Source organism: Homo sapiens, chromosome 10 (genome assembly GCF_000001405.40).
Source record: "Homo sapiens chromosome 10, GRCh38.p14 Primary Assembly".
In the NCBI taxonomy this organism is placed as follows: Eukaryota; Metazoa; Chordata; class Mammalia; order Primates; family Hominidae; genus Homo; species Homo sapiens.
In genome coordinates this window covers 100291656-100309884 of record NC_000010.11, presented here as the reverse complement: position 1 = coordinate 100309884, position 18229 = coordinate 100291656, and the positions used below count along the sequence as shown (strand labels likewise).

General features: G+C 45.2%; 1 protein-coding gene across 2 annotated transcripts in view; it reads left to right on the top strand.

Moving 5' to 3' along the window:
• Positions 1-18229, top strand: part of PKD2L1 (polycystin 2 like 1, transient receptor potential cation channel) — a 42080-nt gene that overhangs the window by 20344 nt on the left and 3507 nt on the right. For both annotated transcript variants that reach the window (NM_016112.3, NM_001253837.2), the window contains exons 3-11: positions 10167-10294; positions 11070-11323; positions 12279-12503; positions 12677-12905; positions 13593-13763; positions 14762-14943; positions 15230-15350; positions 16506-16604; positions 16816-16937. In NM_016112.3, coding sequence (NP_057196.2) covers positions 10167-10294; positions 11070-11323; positions 12279-12503; positions 12677-12905; positions 13593-13763; positions 14762-14943; positions 15230-15350; positions 16506-16604; positions 16816-16937 — 1531 coding nt within the window. The remainder of the gene's footprint in view (positions 1-10166; positions 10295-11069; positions 11324-12278; positions 12504-12676; positions 12906-13592; positions 13764-14761; positions 14944-15229; positions 15351-16505; positions 16605-16815; positions 16938-18229) is intronic.

Below are 18229 nucleotides of genomic sequence, written 5' to 3'. Positions count from 1 at the left end.
GTTCAGGGCTGATCAAGCTAGTGCCTTAATGACATTGTCAAGGATCTGTCTGTTTCTGTTACTCAGTTTTGCCAGGGGCACAATCAGTTTCATCCTAAGGCTGACTCTTCTGGGGCTTTCTCATTCACATCTAGTAGAAAAGAGAAGATCACCAAAGGTTCCAGAAATCTCTTTTTATGACTCCTTGACCTGAAATGGGTTACAAGGTCATCCCTGAACCTGTAAATTGTGCTAAGGGAGGAGTCTCTGCAGATTTGCTCTGGCCTGAACTGCTTGTCCAAGTCCTATAGCCAGGGTTGGATTTAGCTTCTGCCAACATATGTGAGATGATCCAGAGAGGTGTGATACCTCATATAAAATCATGGTATTAGCCAAGAGAGGAGGGAACAGATCTTAATGAAGCAATAGCAAAGTCAGTACAGCATCCAGCACCTGGAAACTTCAGCCTATAACTTGGAAACATACAGACAAAAAATTTTTTTAATGATTTTATAATTTTTATATTGTTTTACTATTATTATAGTATAAGAATATCCATGAGAATGAAAAGAAAGAAAATCCAGCTATTAAACCACTGGTTTTTAAAAAGTCAGTTTTTCCTTCAAGTTTTTACACTTAGTGTTTTCAAAATAATTTTCATTTTATGGATACAATCATTGTATGGATACAGTTTTGCATTGTTTTTGTTACTATTTCGATGACTGTATCATATTCCATTAAGTGACTCAGTGATCTCATAATTTACTTAATAATTGTCTCTGTAAGATTTTTAGGTTGTTTGCATTTTTTTTTGATGTTATAAATAACCCAGGTATCATTTTTGTGCATGTGACTTTTTCCTTCCTTGGGACTTATCTGTGTCAGCATATGGTTCCTGATACAGATTTAGATACTGTTATTCATTTTACACCAGAATGGAGCTTCTTTCAAGACGGTGATCTTTTGAGTTTAACAAGTGCTTTTGCAATTCACCTTCAGACTCAGTTATTAAACTCTTAAAACAGAGTTTGCTTATAAGGACATCTTATAGACTTGCACAATCCTAACTATTTGGAAGGAATTTTGAAAGGAGAGTCAGAATCCTTAATCAGAAGGATTTAGGGTGTTAGGGTGATAGCATGGTATATTAGTGTAGTGTAGAATAGTGGTTAAATCACGGCTTTTGGAGTAAGGCAGATTTGAGTTTGAATCCAAGTTATAATACTTGCTTGCTATATTATCTTTTGAAAAGTTATTTAACACCATTCTGGGGCCTGGCGCAGTGGCTCATGCCTGTAATCCCAGCACTTTGGGAGGCCAAGGTGGGTGGATCACCTGAGGTCAGGAGTTCGAGACTAGCCTGGTCAACATGGTGAAGCCCCATCTCTATTAAAAATACAAAAATTAGCCAGGTGTAGTGGTGCATGCCTGTAATCCTAGCTACCTGGGAGGCTGAAGCAGGAGAATTGCTTGAACCTAGGAGGCAGAGGTTGCAGTGAGCCGAGATGGTGTCATTGCACTCCAGCCAGGGCAACAAGAGAGAGACTCCATCTCGAGAAAAAAAAAAAAGCAACATTCTAAATCTGAGTTATCTGTATAAAATGGAGATGGTAATTCCTATTTTATTGGTATTTTTCAGGATCCTGGGAGAAAATGTATATAAAGCCTGGTGAATAATGTATCAATAATGGTGGTTGTTGTTATTATTGAGCAATTGTGAATTTGATCTGAGAACAAGATTAAGAAGCATGATATAGTGTGTACAGAAGAATTTAATTTCTGTCCAAGAAAAAAAAAATCAGATACTCTCTACATTTGACATGAAACCATCACCTAGTCTCTGAAACCCCTTCGCACATTCTCATGTAGTTATCATCCAGTCTCCAAAGATTTCCTGGAATGAGCCCATTTCTGCCTTAAAATGGTAGTGACGTACTGGCATTTGACATACTGAGTCAAATCCTGACTCATTCCCCACTCTGGTCTAGTGTCACCTTATGAAATACAAAGGGCAATTCCACTCTTTTACTGTATCTTACAGAAAGGAGCTGGGAAGGCCAGCCCTAGAACCCCCTCCATGTGAGCCTCAGATGATCTTCAGCTGACAATCCTTTGCTGACACGCCCAGTGGTGAAAAGGATGTTTGTGAAGTGGCCCATTTCATAATTGAAAGTACTAGTGGTGAAGAAGGACTGCCTTTTATGTAGCTAAAGTTTCTCCCCTATAACTTTTTATTTTTATTTTTTGAGGCAGTGTCTCACTCTGTTGCCCAGGCTGGAATGCAATGTCACGATCACTGCTTACTGCAACCTCAACCTCCAGGGCTCAAGCGATCCTCCCACCTTAGCCTCCCAAGTAGCTGGGATCACAGGTGCCCACCACCAAGCCTGGCTAATTTTAAAAATATTTTGTAGAGACAAGGTCTCCCAGTTTTGCCCATGCTGCTCTATGAATTCCCGGGCTCAAGTGATCCTCAAGCCTTGGCCTCCTAAAGTGTTGGGATGACCCACTGGACTTGGCCACCCTCTGTAACATGTATCTCTTGGGATAATTCTGGGAGTGATACACAATCGGTCTACTATGGAGGCAGACAGATTTGCATTTTAATCCTGGCTCCATTAGTTGTTTTCCTTGGGCAACTTACTTAAACTCTCCAAAACTGGAAAGCATGGATAATATTGGCACCCACCGCATAAGGCTGTAGTAGGATTAAATGAAATAAGCATGTCAAGCACTTAACACAGGACACGTAATAGGTGTTTTGAGGCAATAGGTGTCTAGTCTTGTCCTTTCTTTCTCCTGATTTGGAGAAGGGTGATGATGAAATGGATATGTTGAGCCTCTGTCAGATTCGGAAATCTTTGAACCAGGCGTTCCAGTTAAACAGGCTGGTTCTTGACTGTAGAGTCAAACTACGATACTTATTACCTGAAGAGAATAGAAACTAGTGGGGATGTAGGGGGAGGGAAACACCAGGAAAGATCATCAAGTTTTTTGTTTTTGTTTTTTCTTTCTTTCTTTCTCTCTCTTTCTTTTTTTTTTTTTTTTTTGACAGGGTCTCACTCTCTCGCCCAGGCTGGAGGGCAGTGGCACGATCATGACTCACTGCAGCCTTGATCTCCTAAGGCTCGGGTGATCTTCCTGCCTCAGTCCCCCGAGTAGCTGGGACTACAGGTGTGTGCCAACACACCCAATTTTTGTATTTTCAGCAGAGAAAGAGTTTCGCCATGTTGCCCGGGCTGGTGTCAAACTCCTGTCTCAAGTAGTCCACTCGCTTTGGCCTCTCAAAGTGCTGGGATTACAGGTGTGAGCCATTGCGCCCGACCCATTAAGTTGTTTTCAGTTTTCTTCTGCAATAATGCACCCGAGGGATGTGATCCCCTTACATAACTACCAGTGGTTCACATGGACAGTGAACTCAGTGATTTTCCCCTGGAGTGGGAAGCAGGTGTCCTAAGTGTTCTGTGTAGTTTGTAAGTCATCTTGAGATCCCTGGGAAGTTCTGAGAGCCCTCTGGAAGCTTTTTTCTCTTTCTACTCTCTATTTTGGAATCACCAAAATAGATACTGGGAAACCCACTGCCTTCTTGACATTTCTATTGAAGACAAGTAGGACTGATTGCTTGTCTGATTGCAACAGGTCAAGGCAGCAGTTCTCAAAGTGTGGTCCCATGACCACGAGTATCACTTTGGAACTTATTAGAAATGCAAATTGTTGAGCCCCACCTAAACCTATAGCAATCCATGTTTTTTAGGGGTTGGTTTGTTTTTGTTTTTGTTTTTTGAGATGATCTTGGCTCACTGCAGCCTTGACCTCTCATCTCTCACCGAGTAGCTGGGACCCCAGGTGCACACCACCATGCCCGGCTAATTTATGTATTTTTTTTGTAGAAACAGGATCTTGCCACGTTGCCCAGGCTGATATCGAACTCCTGGACTCAAGTGATCCACCTGCATCAGCCTCTCAAAGTGCTGGGATTATACGAGTGAGCCCTGTACTTGGCCAGCAATTTGTGTTTTAAAAAGCCTTCCAGGTGATTCTGATGCATGCTAAAGTTTGCTTATCATCGGTGGGTTAAGAAAAGGGGAGAAAGACACATGAGCCAAATCATCACCCCATGTACAACCCTGGGCTTCCTCTGCCCTGCTTTTAGATTCAGATTCCTGCAGCCTCCATGCCTGATGCCCATCTGATGCTCTCGACGGATGACTTATTAGAGAGACTGAGTTCTGCCAGCACCATTTCTACCTTCACGCTGTGTAGGGAGGGGTTCCTGGTAAACTGTGCTTGCTTGCTAGGTCAATCAAGGACTGGCTTTATTTCTCTTACCCAAGACTTGAATGAATGTATTGTTCTCTTTGGACTAAGGAATATTCCAGCCTCTTTCCAACATTTACTAAATATAAGTTGTCCTTGACTATTTTGATGACATTGCTGTGATGGGTCAAACATGGATTAATGATGCTTTACTCAGTTTGAAATTGATTCACTTGGCCGGGTGTGGTGGTGCAAGCCTGTAATCCCAGCACTTTGGGAGGCCAAGGCAAGTGGATAATTTGAGGTCAGGAGTTCGAGACCAGCCTGGTCAACATGGTGAAACCCCTGTCTCTACTGAAAATACAAAAAATTAGCCAGGTATGGTGCCGGGCGCCCGTAATCCCAGCTACTCAGGAGCCTGAGGCAGGAGAATAGCTTGAACCCGGGAGGCAGAGGTTGCAGTGAGCTGAGATCACGCCACTGCACTCCAGCCTGGGTGACAGTGCGAGACTCCATCTCAAAAAAAAAAAAAAAGACAAGAAGAGAAAATGATTCACTTATTTCATTTCTACCCTTTATTATAGTATTATAGTTATTTTTCATTTTTCCACTGTTGGTTCAACCAACAAACACTTATTGGGAAGCTACTCAACTACTTATTGAGTTGCCTAAAAGGTATTATATTCCCAGTTTTACAGATGAGAAAGCTGAGACTCAGAGCCCAAGTCTATACTGTAAGTGGCAGAGCTGGGATTTGAACCTAGATCTGTCTGGCTGCAGTGCTCATGCTCATTCTGCTACATCAAGTTCATTCTGGGACACGTCTTCCTCAATAGAACTTTTTAAGGATAGAAACCATGACACTGCTGGTCATGGTGGCTCACGCCTATGATTCCAACACTTTGGGAGGCTAACAGCGGAGGTCAGCTTGAGTTCAGGAGTTCAGGACCAGCCTGGGCAACATAGTGAGACCTTGTCTCTACACAAAATTTAAAAAGGGGTGGCATGCACTTGTGGTCCCAGCTACTCAGGAGGCTGAGATGGGAGGATCACTTGACCCCAGGAGGTTTGAGGCTGCAGTGAGCTATGATAGTGCCACCCCACTCCAGCCTGGGCAACACAGCAAGACCCTGTCTCAAAAAAAGGAAAAGAAAAGATAAAGATAAAAGAAACCGTGACACCTAGCAAGGTATTTTATACATTGTAGAATTTGAATAATGTTTGTTTAATGAATATAAAATGTGTTTTTAGAATAATTCAGGTTGATAGGCTGATAATATGGGCTACTAACTATGAACATCGGAGGTATTAGAAATACTCGGTTTGGGTTTCATAAAATGGTGGGAAAGTACCCCTCATCTCATGGGATGGAGTACAAAATTCACAGATGTAAGAATTAATGAGGGAGAAAGAGTGTTTGTATGGGGAGAGAGTGTTGAATAGGTACTAAACCAAATTTAGATTCTAATTTAGAAAATTTTTAAGGTTGCTTCTTGCTCTTTTCTGTACCTATGCACTTCAATTTAAAAAGTTACAAATAGCGAATACTGAATTTCTGCCTGTCAATAGGCATTTTACCAGGTCAAGCCATTTTTCTCAGAAGACGTGTAATATTTACTGCCTTGTATAATAATCAGAGATATTATGCATCCATAAATAGTTGACGGGCAATGTTATTTCTCCGAGCAATGTTAATTCTCCGAATTGGAAAAGAGGAAAAGCTGTAGCAATGAGTACCACCTAGTGGCTACTCAGAAGATGTGACAATTTAGCCAACCTGCTTCATTAGGAAAGGTTCAGCTTGCTATCAGTTGTAACTGTGATGGGCTTTCCGCACACAGAAGTTTGATTTCCAGCGGGACCCCATTTTCACATCCAGAAAAATTGAGTCCAAATAACTAATGACAAGTAATCACAGATTTGAGTTAGAAGTAAAGCCATATCTTGGACTTAACAGTGTGGAATGGGGAAATGTGAATAATAATGTTTCCTTCTTTGCCATTTTTTCCCCCTGAAAAAGTATAATGTTAGTGCCCAATCCGTGATCATTCGCCTTCCAGATGAGGAAGTGGGAGAAGATATGGCCCAAGATCTGAAAATGAAAATTCTTAAAGGGAATTGCTCATAAGAGGCTGACAAATTCTACTTTTAAAATGTTTGATGTGGGCCGGGCGCGGTGGCTCATGCCTGTAATCCCAGCACTTTGGGAGGCCGAGGCGGGCGGATCACCTGAGGTTGGGGGTTCGAGACCAATATGGAGAAACCCCGTCTCTACTAAAAATATAAAATTAGCCGGGCGTCGTGCTGCATGCCTGTAATCCCAGCTACTCGGGAGGCTGAGGCAGGAGAATTGCTTGAACCCAGGAGGTGGAGGTTGCAGTGAGCCGAGATCGTGCCATTGCACTGCAGCCTGGACAACAAGAGTGAAACTCCGTCTCAAAAAAAAAAACAAAAAAACAGTTTGATGTAATTATGGACTTAAAGAAAATTTGCAAGAAAAAGACAAAGAATTCTTGATACACTGCATATATTTCACTCAGTTTTCCCATATATGAACATGTTACCATGCTTGCTTCTCCTTTCTCATTCTCTCTTTCCCCATCCTCCACACACATGTGCGTGTGCACACACACAAACACACACGCACACACAAGTTTGAGAGTAAATTATAGACATAATGCCCTTTTGTTCCTAAATACTTCAATACGTATTTTCTAAAAAACAAGGATATTCTCTTATCAAAGTCAGAAATTTATCAGCAATCCAGTACTATCATCTAATGAACAGACCATATTACAATTTCACCAATTATACCACTGACAGCCTTTATAGCAAAAGGAAAAAAATTATGGTCCAGGATTAGCTTTCAATTTTTTTCTTTTTTTGCTTCAGAACATTTATATCAAGTCAAATTTCTTTAGTCTCATTTAACCTGGAACAATTTTTTTTTTTTTTGGGGGACAGAGTCTCACTTTGTCACCCAGTGGTATGATCTTGGCTCATTGCAACCTCTGCCTCCTGGGCTTAAGTGATCCTCCTGCCTCAGCCTCCCAAGCAGCTGGGATTACAGGCATGCAACACCATGCCCGGGTAATTTTTGTAATTTTTTTTTTTTGTAGAGATGAGGTTTGGCTATATTGCCCAGGCTAGTCTCGAACTCCTGAGCTCAAGTGATCCGCCCACCTCCACCACCCACAGTGCTAGGATTACAGGTGTGAGTTACTGCACCTGGCCAAACCTGGAACAATTCTTTAGTTTTTCTTTGCCTTTTATTTCCTGGCCAAAAAAACCTGAGCAACAAAATAAATAATAAATTATAACCCATAGGGAAGAAAAGCTGCCAAGAATCCATAGGTTCTAATTGATATGTGTGTGTGTGTGTGTGTGTGTGTATGCGTGTGTGTGTGTGTGTATGCATGAATACATGAATTAGGAATAAGGGAAAGCTCTTCTGAAGAGAATGTCAACTAATAAATGGAGAAGGAATTGTGGAATTTTAAAAAATCACCATTTGAGGCCGGTGCAGTGGCTCATGCCTATAATCCCAGCACTTTGGGAGGCCAAAGTGGGCGGATCACATGAGGTCAGGAGTTGAAGACCAGCCTGACCAACATGGAGAAACGCCATCTCTACTAAAAATACAAAATTTGCTGAGTGTGGTGGCATATGCCTGTAATCCCAGCTACTTGGGAGGCTGAGGCAGGAGAATCACTTGAATCCAGGAGGCGGAGTGTTGCGGGAAGTCAGGGACCCCGAATGGAGGGACCTGCTGAAGCCGTGACAGAAGAACATAAATTGTGAAGATTTCATGGACATTTATCACTTCCCCAATCAATACCCTTATAATTTCCTATGCCTGTCTTTACTTTAATCTCTTAATCCCGTCATCTTTGTAAACTGAGGATGTATGTTGCCTCAGGACCCTGTGATGATTGCGTTAACTGCACAAATTGTTCATAAAGCATGTGTGTTTGAACAATATGAAATCTAGGCACCTTGAGAACAGGATAAGAATGATTTTCAGGGAACAAGGGAGATAACCTTAAAGTCTGGCTGCCTGTGGGCCGGGCAGGACAGACCCATATTTCTCTTATTACTGAAAACGGGTAAGATAAATATCACTGAATTCTTTCCCCAGTAAGGAATATTAATAATTAACAGCCCTGGGAAAAGAATGCATTCCCGGGGGGGGGGCCTCTAAAATGGCTGCTCTGGGGGTGTCTGCCTTATGCAGCTGCAGATAACAGATGAAACACGCCCTGGCCACCTGCAGTGCCCCCAGGCTTCCTAGGATTAGGAAATTCCAGGCTGGCAAATTCTAGTCAGACTGGTTCTCTGCTCTTGAACCCTGTTAAGATGTTTATCAATGACAATGCATGCACAGCAGGACATGGAAGTTCATTAGTGATTCTAGTTTCGCCCTGACCTTGTGATCTCGCCTTGACCTTCTGCCTTGTGATCTTTTGTCACCCTTGAAGCATGTGATCTCTGTGACCCACACCCTATTCGTACACTCCCTCCCCTTTGAAAATTGCTAATAAAAACTTGCTGGTTTTACGGCTCAGGGGGCATCATGGAACCTGCCGACATGTGACGTCTCCGCCGGACACCCAACTTTAAAATTTCTCTCTTTTGTACTCTTTCCCTTTATTTCTCAGACCAGCAGACACTTAGGGAAATAGAAAAGAACCTACGTTGAATTATCGGGGGCAGGTTCCCCCGATAGCGGAGTTTTTGGTGAGCCAAGATCGTGCCATTGCACTCCATCCTGGGCAACAACAGTGAAAAAAAAAATCACCATTTGACAATGTTAGTAATAATCAGGCAAAAAATACACAGTTTGAAAGGGGTCTCCCCACAAAAACACGTATTAATTACAAAAAGAAAAACAGTAATTTTACGTTGAAGAAACTGGCAGACACCACCTTAACAAAAGATCAAAGTTAATCTCACTAGTAATGAGATGAACAGGCAATGTGTAGTTCCTGATATCATGCACTGAGAAAGACACAGTATCACTTCTATGATATCCCTCCCAAAAATGCATAACCGAATTTAAAAATAAGAAAACATTAGACTAACTTAAATTGAAGGACAATCTGTTAAATAAATGACTTATACTTTTAGAATCCTGCTTTGTAAACAAAACTTAGTGCTCCCTACAGCCCTACTGGCACATGGGACTGGATGGATGTGTTAGGGTGCATGAGGGAGATCAAGTTCTTCAGGGTAAAGTCCAGGTCTTTTTTTTTTAATTTAACTTGCACACAATGTGTGCACAGGGAGAATCACAGGGTGATTGCTCCTAGGTCTTTTTTGATCTGGGAACACTGAGTCGCTCTCTCAGGAGATGACTGTGCCCATCTGATCGTACTAGTCATGCCAGGGACAGAGGTGCTGTGCCTACCTGCCACTCCCATGGCTACAGCCACTGACACCAGGGGCCATGAGACCACATCTCTATTGTAAGGTGTTTGGCCAAGGCCTTGAACTCTAGAGGGAGTACTCTAGACTTTGGGGGCACTTTCCAAAAGGCATCACTACCTTTTGGAAGCAGACAAAAGGAATCACTACACAGTGCAGAAGGCAGGAATATCTTTGCTCTGGGGAGTAAGAACTGGGAAGTTAAGCTGGTTCAGGAAAAGAAAAGTGTATTTTTATAATAACAATGTAAGACAACTACTGAGTGGAGTTCAGTCTTTCTGAGGTGGGTTGGAAGAAGAGGAGGAGACATTGTAGCTACAACCCTTTCCTAATGCATTTCCTGGCTTCCTCATGCCACCATTAGGCTCCTAACCAAGTCTAGAGGATGGGTCCAGATGGGGGATGGGCTTCCATCTTGGAAGCATCTCTGACTCCAGGGCAATAGGCTTTCCTGTCTCCTCTGGGGGAACAGTGAGAAGGACATAGCCTCTTGGGTTGTTTTCTAGTGACCTATGGAATGACAAGCTCCAGTGCTTATTACTACACCAAAGTGATGTCTGAGCTCTTCTTACATACTCCATCAGACACTGGAGTCTCCTTTCAGGCCATCAGCAGCATGGCGGACTTCTGGGATGTGAGTATAAGATCTTTTCTACCCCTCCCCTCTCTTTCTCAATGGCCTGAGGCCACAGGTCAGACAACGGATCAGACCTTATGCTGGGAAATCAAATCAGTCAGGGATCAGACTGAGTCAAAGGGCCAGGCTGAATTAATGGGTTAGTCTAGAGTTCAGGTGGAGGTGGGTAAGGGATTAATACAGCAATCAGGGAATTAAACCAGGAGTTAGATTAGTATCGGGAGTCAGAGGTAAGGCTGAACTTCAAAACGAATTTTAAATAAAGAGTAGGGCCACTTCAGGTCAGACTCTGGTCAAGGTTCATTGGTCAATGGAGGAGTTTTAAAAAGCAGGCCGGGCACGGTGGCTCACACTTGTAATCCCAGCACTTTAGGAGGCTGAGGCAGACAAATCACCTGAGGTCAGTTGTTCAAGACCAGCCTGGACAACATGGTGAAACCCTGTCTCTACTAAAAATACAAAAATTAGCTGGGCATAGTGATGCATGCCTGAAATCCCAGCTCCTCGGGAGGCTGAGGCAGGAGAATCGCTTGAACCTGGGAGGCAGAGGTTGCAGAGGTTGCGGTGAGCCGAGATTGTGTCACTGCACTCCAGCCTGGGTGACAAAGCGAGACTCTGTCCCTTAAAATAATAATAATAATAATAATAACAATAATTTTTTAAAAAGCAGACTGGAGACAAGCTGGGGAGTCAGAGGATGAGGGCAAAGGTCATTCTAAAGGTAGGGGGTCAGGAGGAGGCTGGGTAAGGTTCAAGCCAGCTTGTGGTTCAGTTTGCCCAGGGCCCACTACTGGACAGTTTGTATTGGACCAAATGGTACAACAACCAGAGCCTGGGCCATGGCTCCCACTCCTTCATCTACTATGAGAACATGCTGCTGGGGGTTCCGAGGCTGCGGCAGCTAAAGGTCCGCAATGACTCCTGTGTGGTGCATGAAGACTTCCGGGAGGACATTCTGAGCTGCTATGATGTCTACTCTCCAGACAAAGAAGAACAACTCCCCTTTGGGCCCTTCAATGGCACAGCGTGAGTGAGCCTGTCCTACCAATATCACAGGGCTTGCCCCTCTAAACCTGACACCATCCCAAGGTCTGGGAACCACTTCCACTGAGGCTTAAAGAGCCTCAGAGCTCTTTAAGGGACTTCTGGGGGCATCTCCCTGAATCCCAGCTGTGACTGTTTGGGGACCTTGGTCTGTGTCACTCAGGAACAGAGGAGGTAGGTTAGCAAACACAGCAATAGCCTCCAGACTTGTTCCCACAGACAGGTTGCAATCACACTTGTCCTACCTTGCACGTAGTCCTTCCAGGGAAAGCTTCCTTTCTTGCCTAGAAGTTGGTTAGGGGTATACAAAATGGGTGAAATTGAAGAACCCAACCCTTGAGATTGATACGTGGAGCAGCAAGGGGTCAAGGATGGATGACAAATTAGGGAGGAAGGGGGAAAGGGTGGACAGGACAGAAGAGGGAGGAAATAAGCACCCAGGGTAGAAAGTTTAGTGGATAGAATGGAGAAACATGGGGTGAAGGAGCCTGATGTGCAATCACAGAGCTGGAGGATCTTTTCCTCCTGGTCCAGGTGCTTCCCTTAGGGGGACTATTCAAGGTGGGCCAAAAGTGGGGCTTGGCTTTGTCATCCAAATCTTTGAGTGACATAGTGAAAAATCAGATTTACATTTGAGTTTCAGTTCTGTCATTTATAGCTGGATTATCTCGGTAACCTCTTTCATAGTTTCCTCTTCTGCAAAATGTGGATAATATTCACTCTCCCTTCTCAAATGGTTGTTAGTATCAAACAGAATAATAAATGATACATTATATATGTATATATCACATATCTCATACACACACACACACACACACACACACACACACACACACACACAATATGTAAACCTGTAAAGCCCAGACAATGATAAAGCATTGCCATTGCCTTGGGAGATGAACTTTTGGGCTGGCTCAGCTGGCATTTTCTGTGGCAGGTGGACATACCACTCGCAGGATGAGTTGGGGGGCTTCTCCCACTGGGGCAGGCTCACAAGCTACAGCGGAGGTGGCTACTACCTGGACCTTCCAGGATCCCGACAGGGTAGTGCAGAGGCTCTCCGGGCCCTTCAGGAGGGGCTGTGGCTGGACAGGGGCACTCGAGTGGTGTTCATCGACTTCTCAGTCTACAATGCCAATATCAATCTTTTCTGTGTCCTGAGGTGAGCCCCCTTTCCCTACTTTATCACCCTGTCCATGGCTCCTGGTTCCCGTCTCTTGTGCATGAGACCCTTCCCTAAACTCCTACCCTGTGGTGGGGGTGGAGAGGAGAGGAAGTGGGAGGAGCCGTCCCAGCGAAGGCTCCACTGGAGGTCATCTCCCCCTCCCCCTATAGGCTGGTGGTGGAGTTTCCAGCTACAGGAGGTGCCATCCCATCCTGGCAAATCCGCACAGTCAAGCTGATCCGCTATGTCAGCAACTGGGACTTCTTTATCGTTGGCTGTGAGGTCATCTTCTGCGTCTTCATCTTCTACTATGTGGTGGAAGAGATCCTGGAGCTCCACATTCACCGGCTTCGCTACCTCAGCAGCATCTGGAACATACTGGACCTGGTGGTCATCTTGGTGAGGGACAGATATCTAGGACTTGGGACATTCTGGGGTGAGGAGGGAGTTCCACCCTAATAGGGGCTCCAGGTTCTTCCTTTTGGAGCCCTAAGCCCTCCTTCTGACTTTTGGTCAAATCATCATTTAACAGCTCCCTAAGTGAGAGGGACATGTTCCCCTCTCTCAGCCCTTGGGAAACCCTGTCTCTCACATCTCCTCTCCTCCTCACCTGTCATCTGAGCCCTGTGTTTTTTTTTTTTAGTGTACTATATTCTGCTCCTCTCTTGTCTTTTGTCTTTATGACCTGTTCTGTGGAAACCCATGCCTTTTGTCTTCTATTCAAATATTCTGCCCCTTCATCTTCATCTCCCTCCTATTAACAAGACACATTCAATTCCTGACCAAAGCTTGGAAGTGGTGGGAGCGGAAGGAAATGACTGGTTCCAGTTCCCTACAGCCCTTTACAATCTATACATTAATATTTACCATTGTCCCCAATGCCTTCTCTTGGGCTTTGGAACACTTAAGATGCTCCCCAGTCATCCTACCAAGTTCCATTTGAAACTGAGATAGTGAACAAGTCAGCAAGGATGGCTTTTTTCCCACCTGTCTTACCTACCCTGACTCTCCCTTGGGGCCTCATCTTGGAACTTCCCTTGAGATCCCCTTGCCTTCTCTGACACCCCCATGACCCCTGTGTGACAGCTCTCCATTGTGGCTGTGGGCTTCCACATATTCCGAACCCTCGAGGTGAATCGGCTCATGGGGAAGCTCCTGCAGCAGCCAAACACGTATGCAGACTTTGAGTTCCTCGCCTTCTGGCAGACACAGTACAACAACATGAATGCTGTCAACCTCTTCTTCGCCTGGATCAAGGTACCTGGGATTCCCACACCCAGCTTTGCTTCAAGGCGCACTCATTCTCCCTTCTTTTCTTTTCTTTTTTTTCTTTTTTTTTTTTTTGAGATGGAGTCTCGCTCTTGCCCAGGCTGGAGTGAAGTGGGGGCGATCTTGGCTCACTGCAACCTCCACCTCCTGAGTTCAAGTGATTCTCCTGCCTCAGCCTCCTGAGTAGCTGGGACTACAGGCACCCACCACCACGCCTGGCTAATTTTTGTATTTTTTGTGGAGACGGGGTTTCACCATGTTGGCCAGGGTGGTCTCGAACTCCCAACCTCAGGTGATCTGCCTACCTCAGCCTCTCAAAGGGCTAGGATTACATGCATGAGCCACCGCCCCTGACTTTTTTTTTTTTTTTTTTTTTTTGAGACGAAGTCTCACTCTGTTGTCTGGCTGGAGTACAATGGCACGATCTCAGCTCACTGCAACCTCTGCCTCCCGGGTTGAAGCAATTCTCCTGCCTCAGCCTCCTGAGTAGCTGGGATTACAGGCATGCACCACCACACCCAGCTAACTTTTTGTATTTTTAGTAGAGACGAGGTTTCACCATGTTGGCCAGGCTGGTCTCGAACTCCTGACCTTGAGCCATCCACCTGCCTCAGCCTCCCAAAGTGCTGGGATTGCAGGAGTGAACTGCCGTGCCTGGCTTTTTTTTTTTTTTTTTTTTTTAATGGTCCCAGTATGTCCCTCAATCAGTTGCCCAGACTGGAGTGCAGTGGTGCAATCTCAGCTCACTGCAACTTCTGCCTCCCAGATTCAAGTGATTCTCTGCCTCAGCCTCCCAAGTAGCTGGAATTACAGGTGCGTGCCACCATGCCCAGCTAATTTTTGTATCATTCTCCCTTCTTCAATATGTGTCTCATTTTCTTTGTCTGGCTTGGCAACTCCTGTGGCCTCCATAGGCCCTTGGCATGGACTTTTCAATGCTTTTCCCTTTTCCTTCTTCATCCCTTGGTTCAACATGGTCCTTCCAGATATTCAAGTACATCAGCTTCAACAAAACCATGACCCAGCTCTCCTCCACGCTGGCCCGCTGTGCCAAGGACATCCTGGGCTTCGCCGTCATGTTCTTCATTGTTTTCTTCGCCTATGCCCAACTCGGCTACCTGCTTTTCGGGACCCAAGTGGAAAACTTTAGCACTTTCATCAAGTGCATGTGTGTGTCCTGTCCCCTTCACTCCTCCCTGGCCCCTCACCCTCCAGCTCCACGGGTGTATGTATCCTTGGGGAAGATGGGTACGTGCGTGTCTGCATGTCTGTGTTCAAAGCATCTGTGTGAGGGTCTCCAGAAGCCCTGGTGTGTGTGCTTAAATAATCTAAGCACCCTGCCCTGTGTCTATCAGATTGGGGTGAACGTGTGGTGAGGGGTCTCTCTGTGATTAGGAAAGTGGGATGGGGGGTGTTTGTTAGGCTCTGGGTAAAGCCCAGACCTGGTCTCTCAGTTTCACTCAGTTCCGGATAATCCTCGGGGACTTTGACTACAATGCTATCGACAATGCCAACCGCATCCTGGGCCCTGCCTACTTTGTCACCTATGTCTTCTTCGTCTTCTTCGTGCTCCTGGTGAGGGTCTCTCTGAGGGGTGGGGACATAGAGAGCCTGCAGGGTGGAGTTTTGGTCCTAGTATGTCCCTCACTCAGGATTGATAAGTTTCTCAAATCAAGGATGGAGAGTGAGTGGGGGGGCCGATGTCTGGATCTTCTGAGAGATGGTTAATGTAGTACAGCCAGCATGGTCAGTTTGCAGGTTTGCAGAGTATAAGGGAACCTGCAGACTCCCTCAGTAAAATCAAACCCTCATTCTCCAAGGATGGAAATGGGGAGAAAAGTGCCTTATGAGGAGCAGTAGCTGCACCTGGAAGCGTCTACGACCGTCCTCCAAGACTCCCCTTCCTCTGGGGATCTCATGCTGATTTCTACTGCCACTACTTGGTAGTTCTCTCTCCCTGCCAACCATGAAAAATCTGGGTTATTATTTATTTATTTTAGACAGGGTCTCACTCTGTCACCCAGGCTGGAGTGCAGTGGTGCAATCTCAGCTCACTGCAACCTCCACCTCCCGAGCTCAAACTATCCTCCCACTTTAGCTTCCTGAGTAGATAGGACCACTGGTATGGTCAGGAGCCACCACACCCCGCTAATTTTTGTATCTTTTGTAGAGACAGTGTTTTGCTATGTTGCCCAGGCTGGTCTCTAACTCCTGGACTCAAGCAATCTGCCTGCCTTGGCCTCCCAAAGTGCTGGATTACAGGTGTAGGCCAGTGTGCCCAGCTCTTGGATTTTATTTTTACTAACAAGGCCAGCAATTTTCTTTATTTGATCAATGGATGGGGATACAGATATGGATTGGGGGGTAGATGAAAAAGAGATCACAATTGTACTCTCACCCTGAAAAGCCTCTAGTTCCAATGATTGATGGGCCCTTATACAAAGGAGGTCTGTGGCATATGTTATTGTATCTCTGTGGTCAGAAAGGTTACTACAGCAACTGAGAGTGAGGACACCAGGTTGGTCAAGAAGCATGATCCATCTCTAACAGAACTGTGCTGAAAGGCTGGGCTCTGGGGACCCTGAGAGGCAGGGATTGATGGGCTGCCGAACTGGGGTTGAGAGCACTGACCCCTTTGGAACACGTGTCTTGGACATTAATGGGGTCAGTGGGCTCAATCCTTTCAGTGGGTCTGGGGGTGAGGACCCAGGTCCCCACTTCATTTTCCAGAACATGTTCCTGGCCATCATCAATGACACATATTCAGAGGTCAAGGAGGAGCTGGCTGGACAGAAGGATGAGCTGCAACTTTCTGACCTCCTGAAACAGGTGATTGCTCAATCTCCTTGAGCTACACATTTCCATCAGTGCCCCAGTCTAAGGCTCTGTGTCCTGGTCTGTTCCTGACTGATTGAGGTGCCTGTGCCCTTGTGTGCCTTTAAATTTATCCTTGGAAGCCTGGCATACTATGGGTGGGGCTGGGGGCCAGGGATGAGTGAGCAGCCTGTGAGAACTTGTGCCTATTTCCTTTCCCTTTCAGGGCTACAACAAGACCCTACTAAGACTGCGTCTGAGGAAGGAGAGGGTTTCGGATGTGCAGAAGGTCCTGCAGGGTGGGGAGCAGGAGATCCAGTTTGAGGATTTCACCAACACCTTAAGGGAGTGAGCAACCAGAGACCCAGCCTTCTCTAATAACAGTCTCTTAAGTCCTCAACCCTCAACCATACTTCATTTGCTTATAAGCCTTTGGTTTTAGTTTAGGGGCCTCTGATCTTGACTTGCAGGCTTCAGATCTTTGCCCGTAGGTCTCCGCTCCTGACCTTCAGAACTGTGCCCTTGGTTTAAAAATCTCTGACCGTGGTTTATAACATCCTGGATCTTGTTGAACAACTCTTAGGAAACAATGTAATAATTCCCTAATCATTGAATACACACCCCACTCCCACAAAACTCTGATTTTTGTTCTATGCTTCCCCACAAACACTCATCTATTCCTTTAGCCATTCACTCCCTGATTCCCAGTCAAACATATTAATACACATTGAACAAATACATTGTGAGCACCAGCTGCAGATCAGGCACTGAGTAATAGACAACATAATTTTTTTTTTTTTTTTGAGACAAAGTCCTGCTCTGTTGCCCAGGCTGGAGTGCAGTTGCACAATCTCGGCTCACTGCAACCTCAGCTTCCCCGGGGTCAAGCAATTCTCATGCCTCAGCCTCCTGAGTAGCTGGGACTACAGTCATGTGCCACCACGCCCGGCTAATTTTTGTATTTTTGGTAGAGATGGGATTTTGCCATGTTGGCCAGGCTGGTCTCAAACTCCTGGCCTCAAGTGATCCACCCACCTCAGCCTCCCAAAGTGCTGGGATTAGGAGACAACGTAATTAAATGGGACAAAGTCTTTGTTTTCTAAGAGCTCATAGACTTGCAAATAAACTGAATCACAGAATAAGTTCAACAGAAGTGACTAGGAGTAGAGGGTGATCAATTCTATCTCTGAGCTTAAGGGAAGGCTTCCTGGAAGAGGTAATGTCTAAATAGGATATTGGAGGATGAATAGCTCACAAGTGGACAAGCAGAGGAAGGCTCTTCCAAGAAGAGATGAAAGCACATACAAAAGCATAGAGGTCTGAAACCAAGCAACATACACAGGAGGAATAAGTAGTTGAGCATTGCTAAGTATTAAATAAAGGGGCGGGGACAGGTGGTGGTCATAGCAGGAGATGAGACCAGAGAAACAGGCAAGGACCACACTGAGAAAGGCCACACTACCACTCTGCCAAAAGAATAGGGTGCCAGAAGGGATTTCAAGAAGGCACATTTTTAGATCTGCATATTAGAAAGGTTAATTACTCTAGTTGTATTATGGAGGATGGATTTCAGGGGTAGGGAGTAAAGGGGAAGCTGGGGGATAGCAGGTTATTTAGAGGCAAACAGATTTTGCAATAAT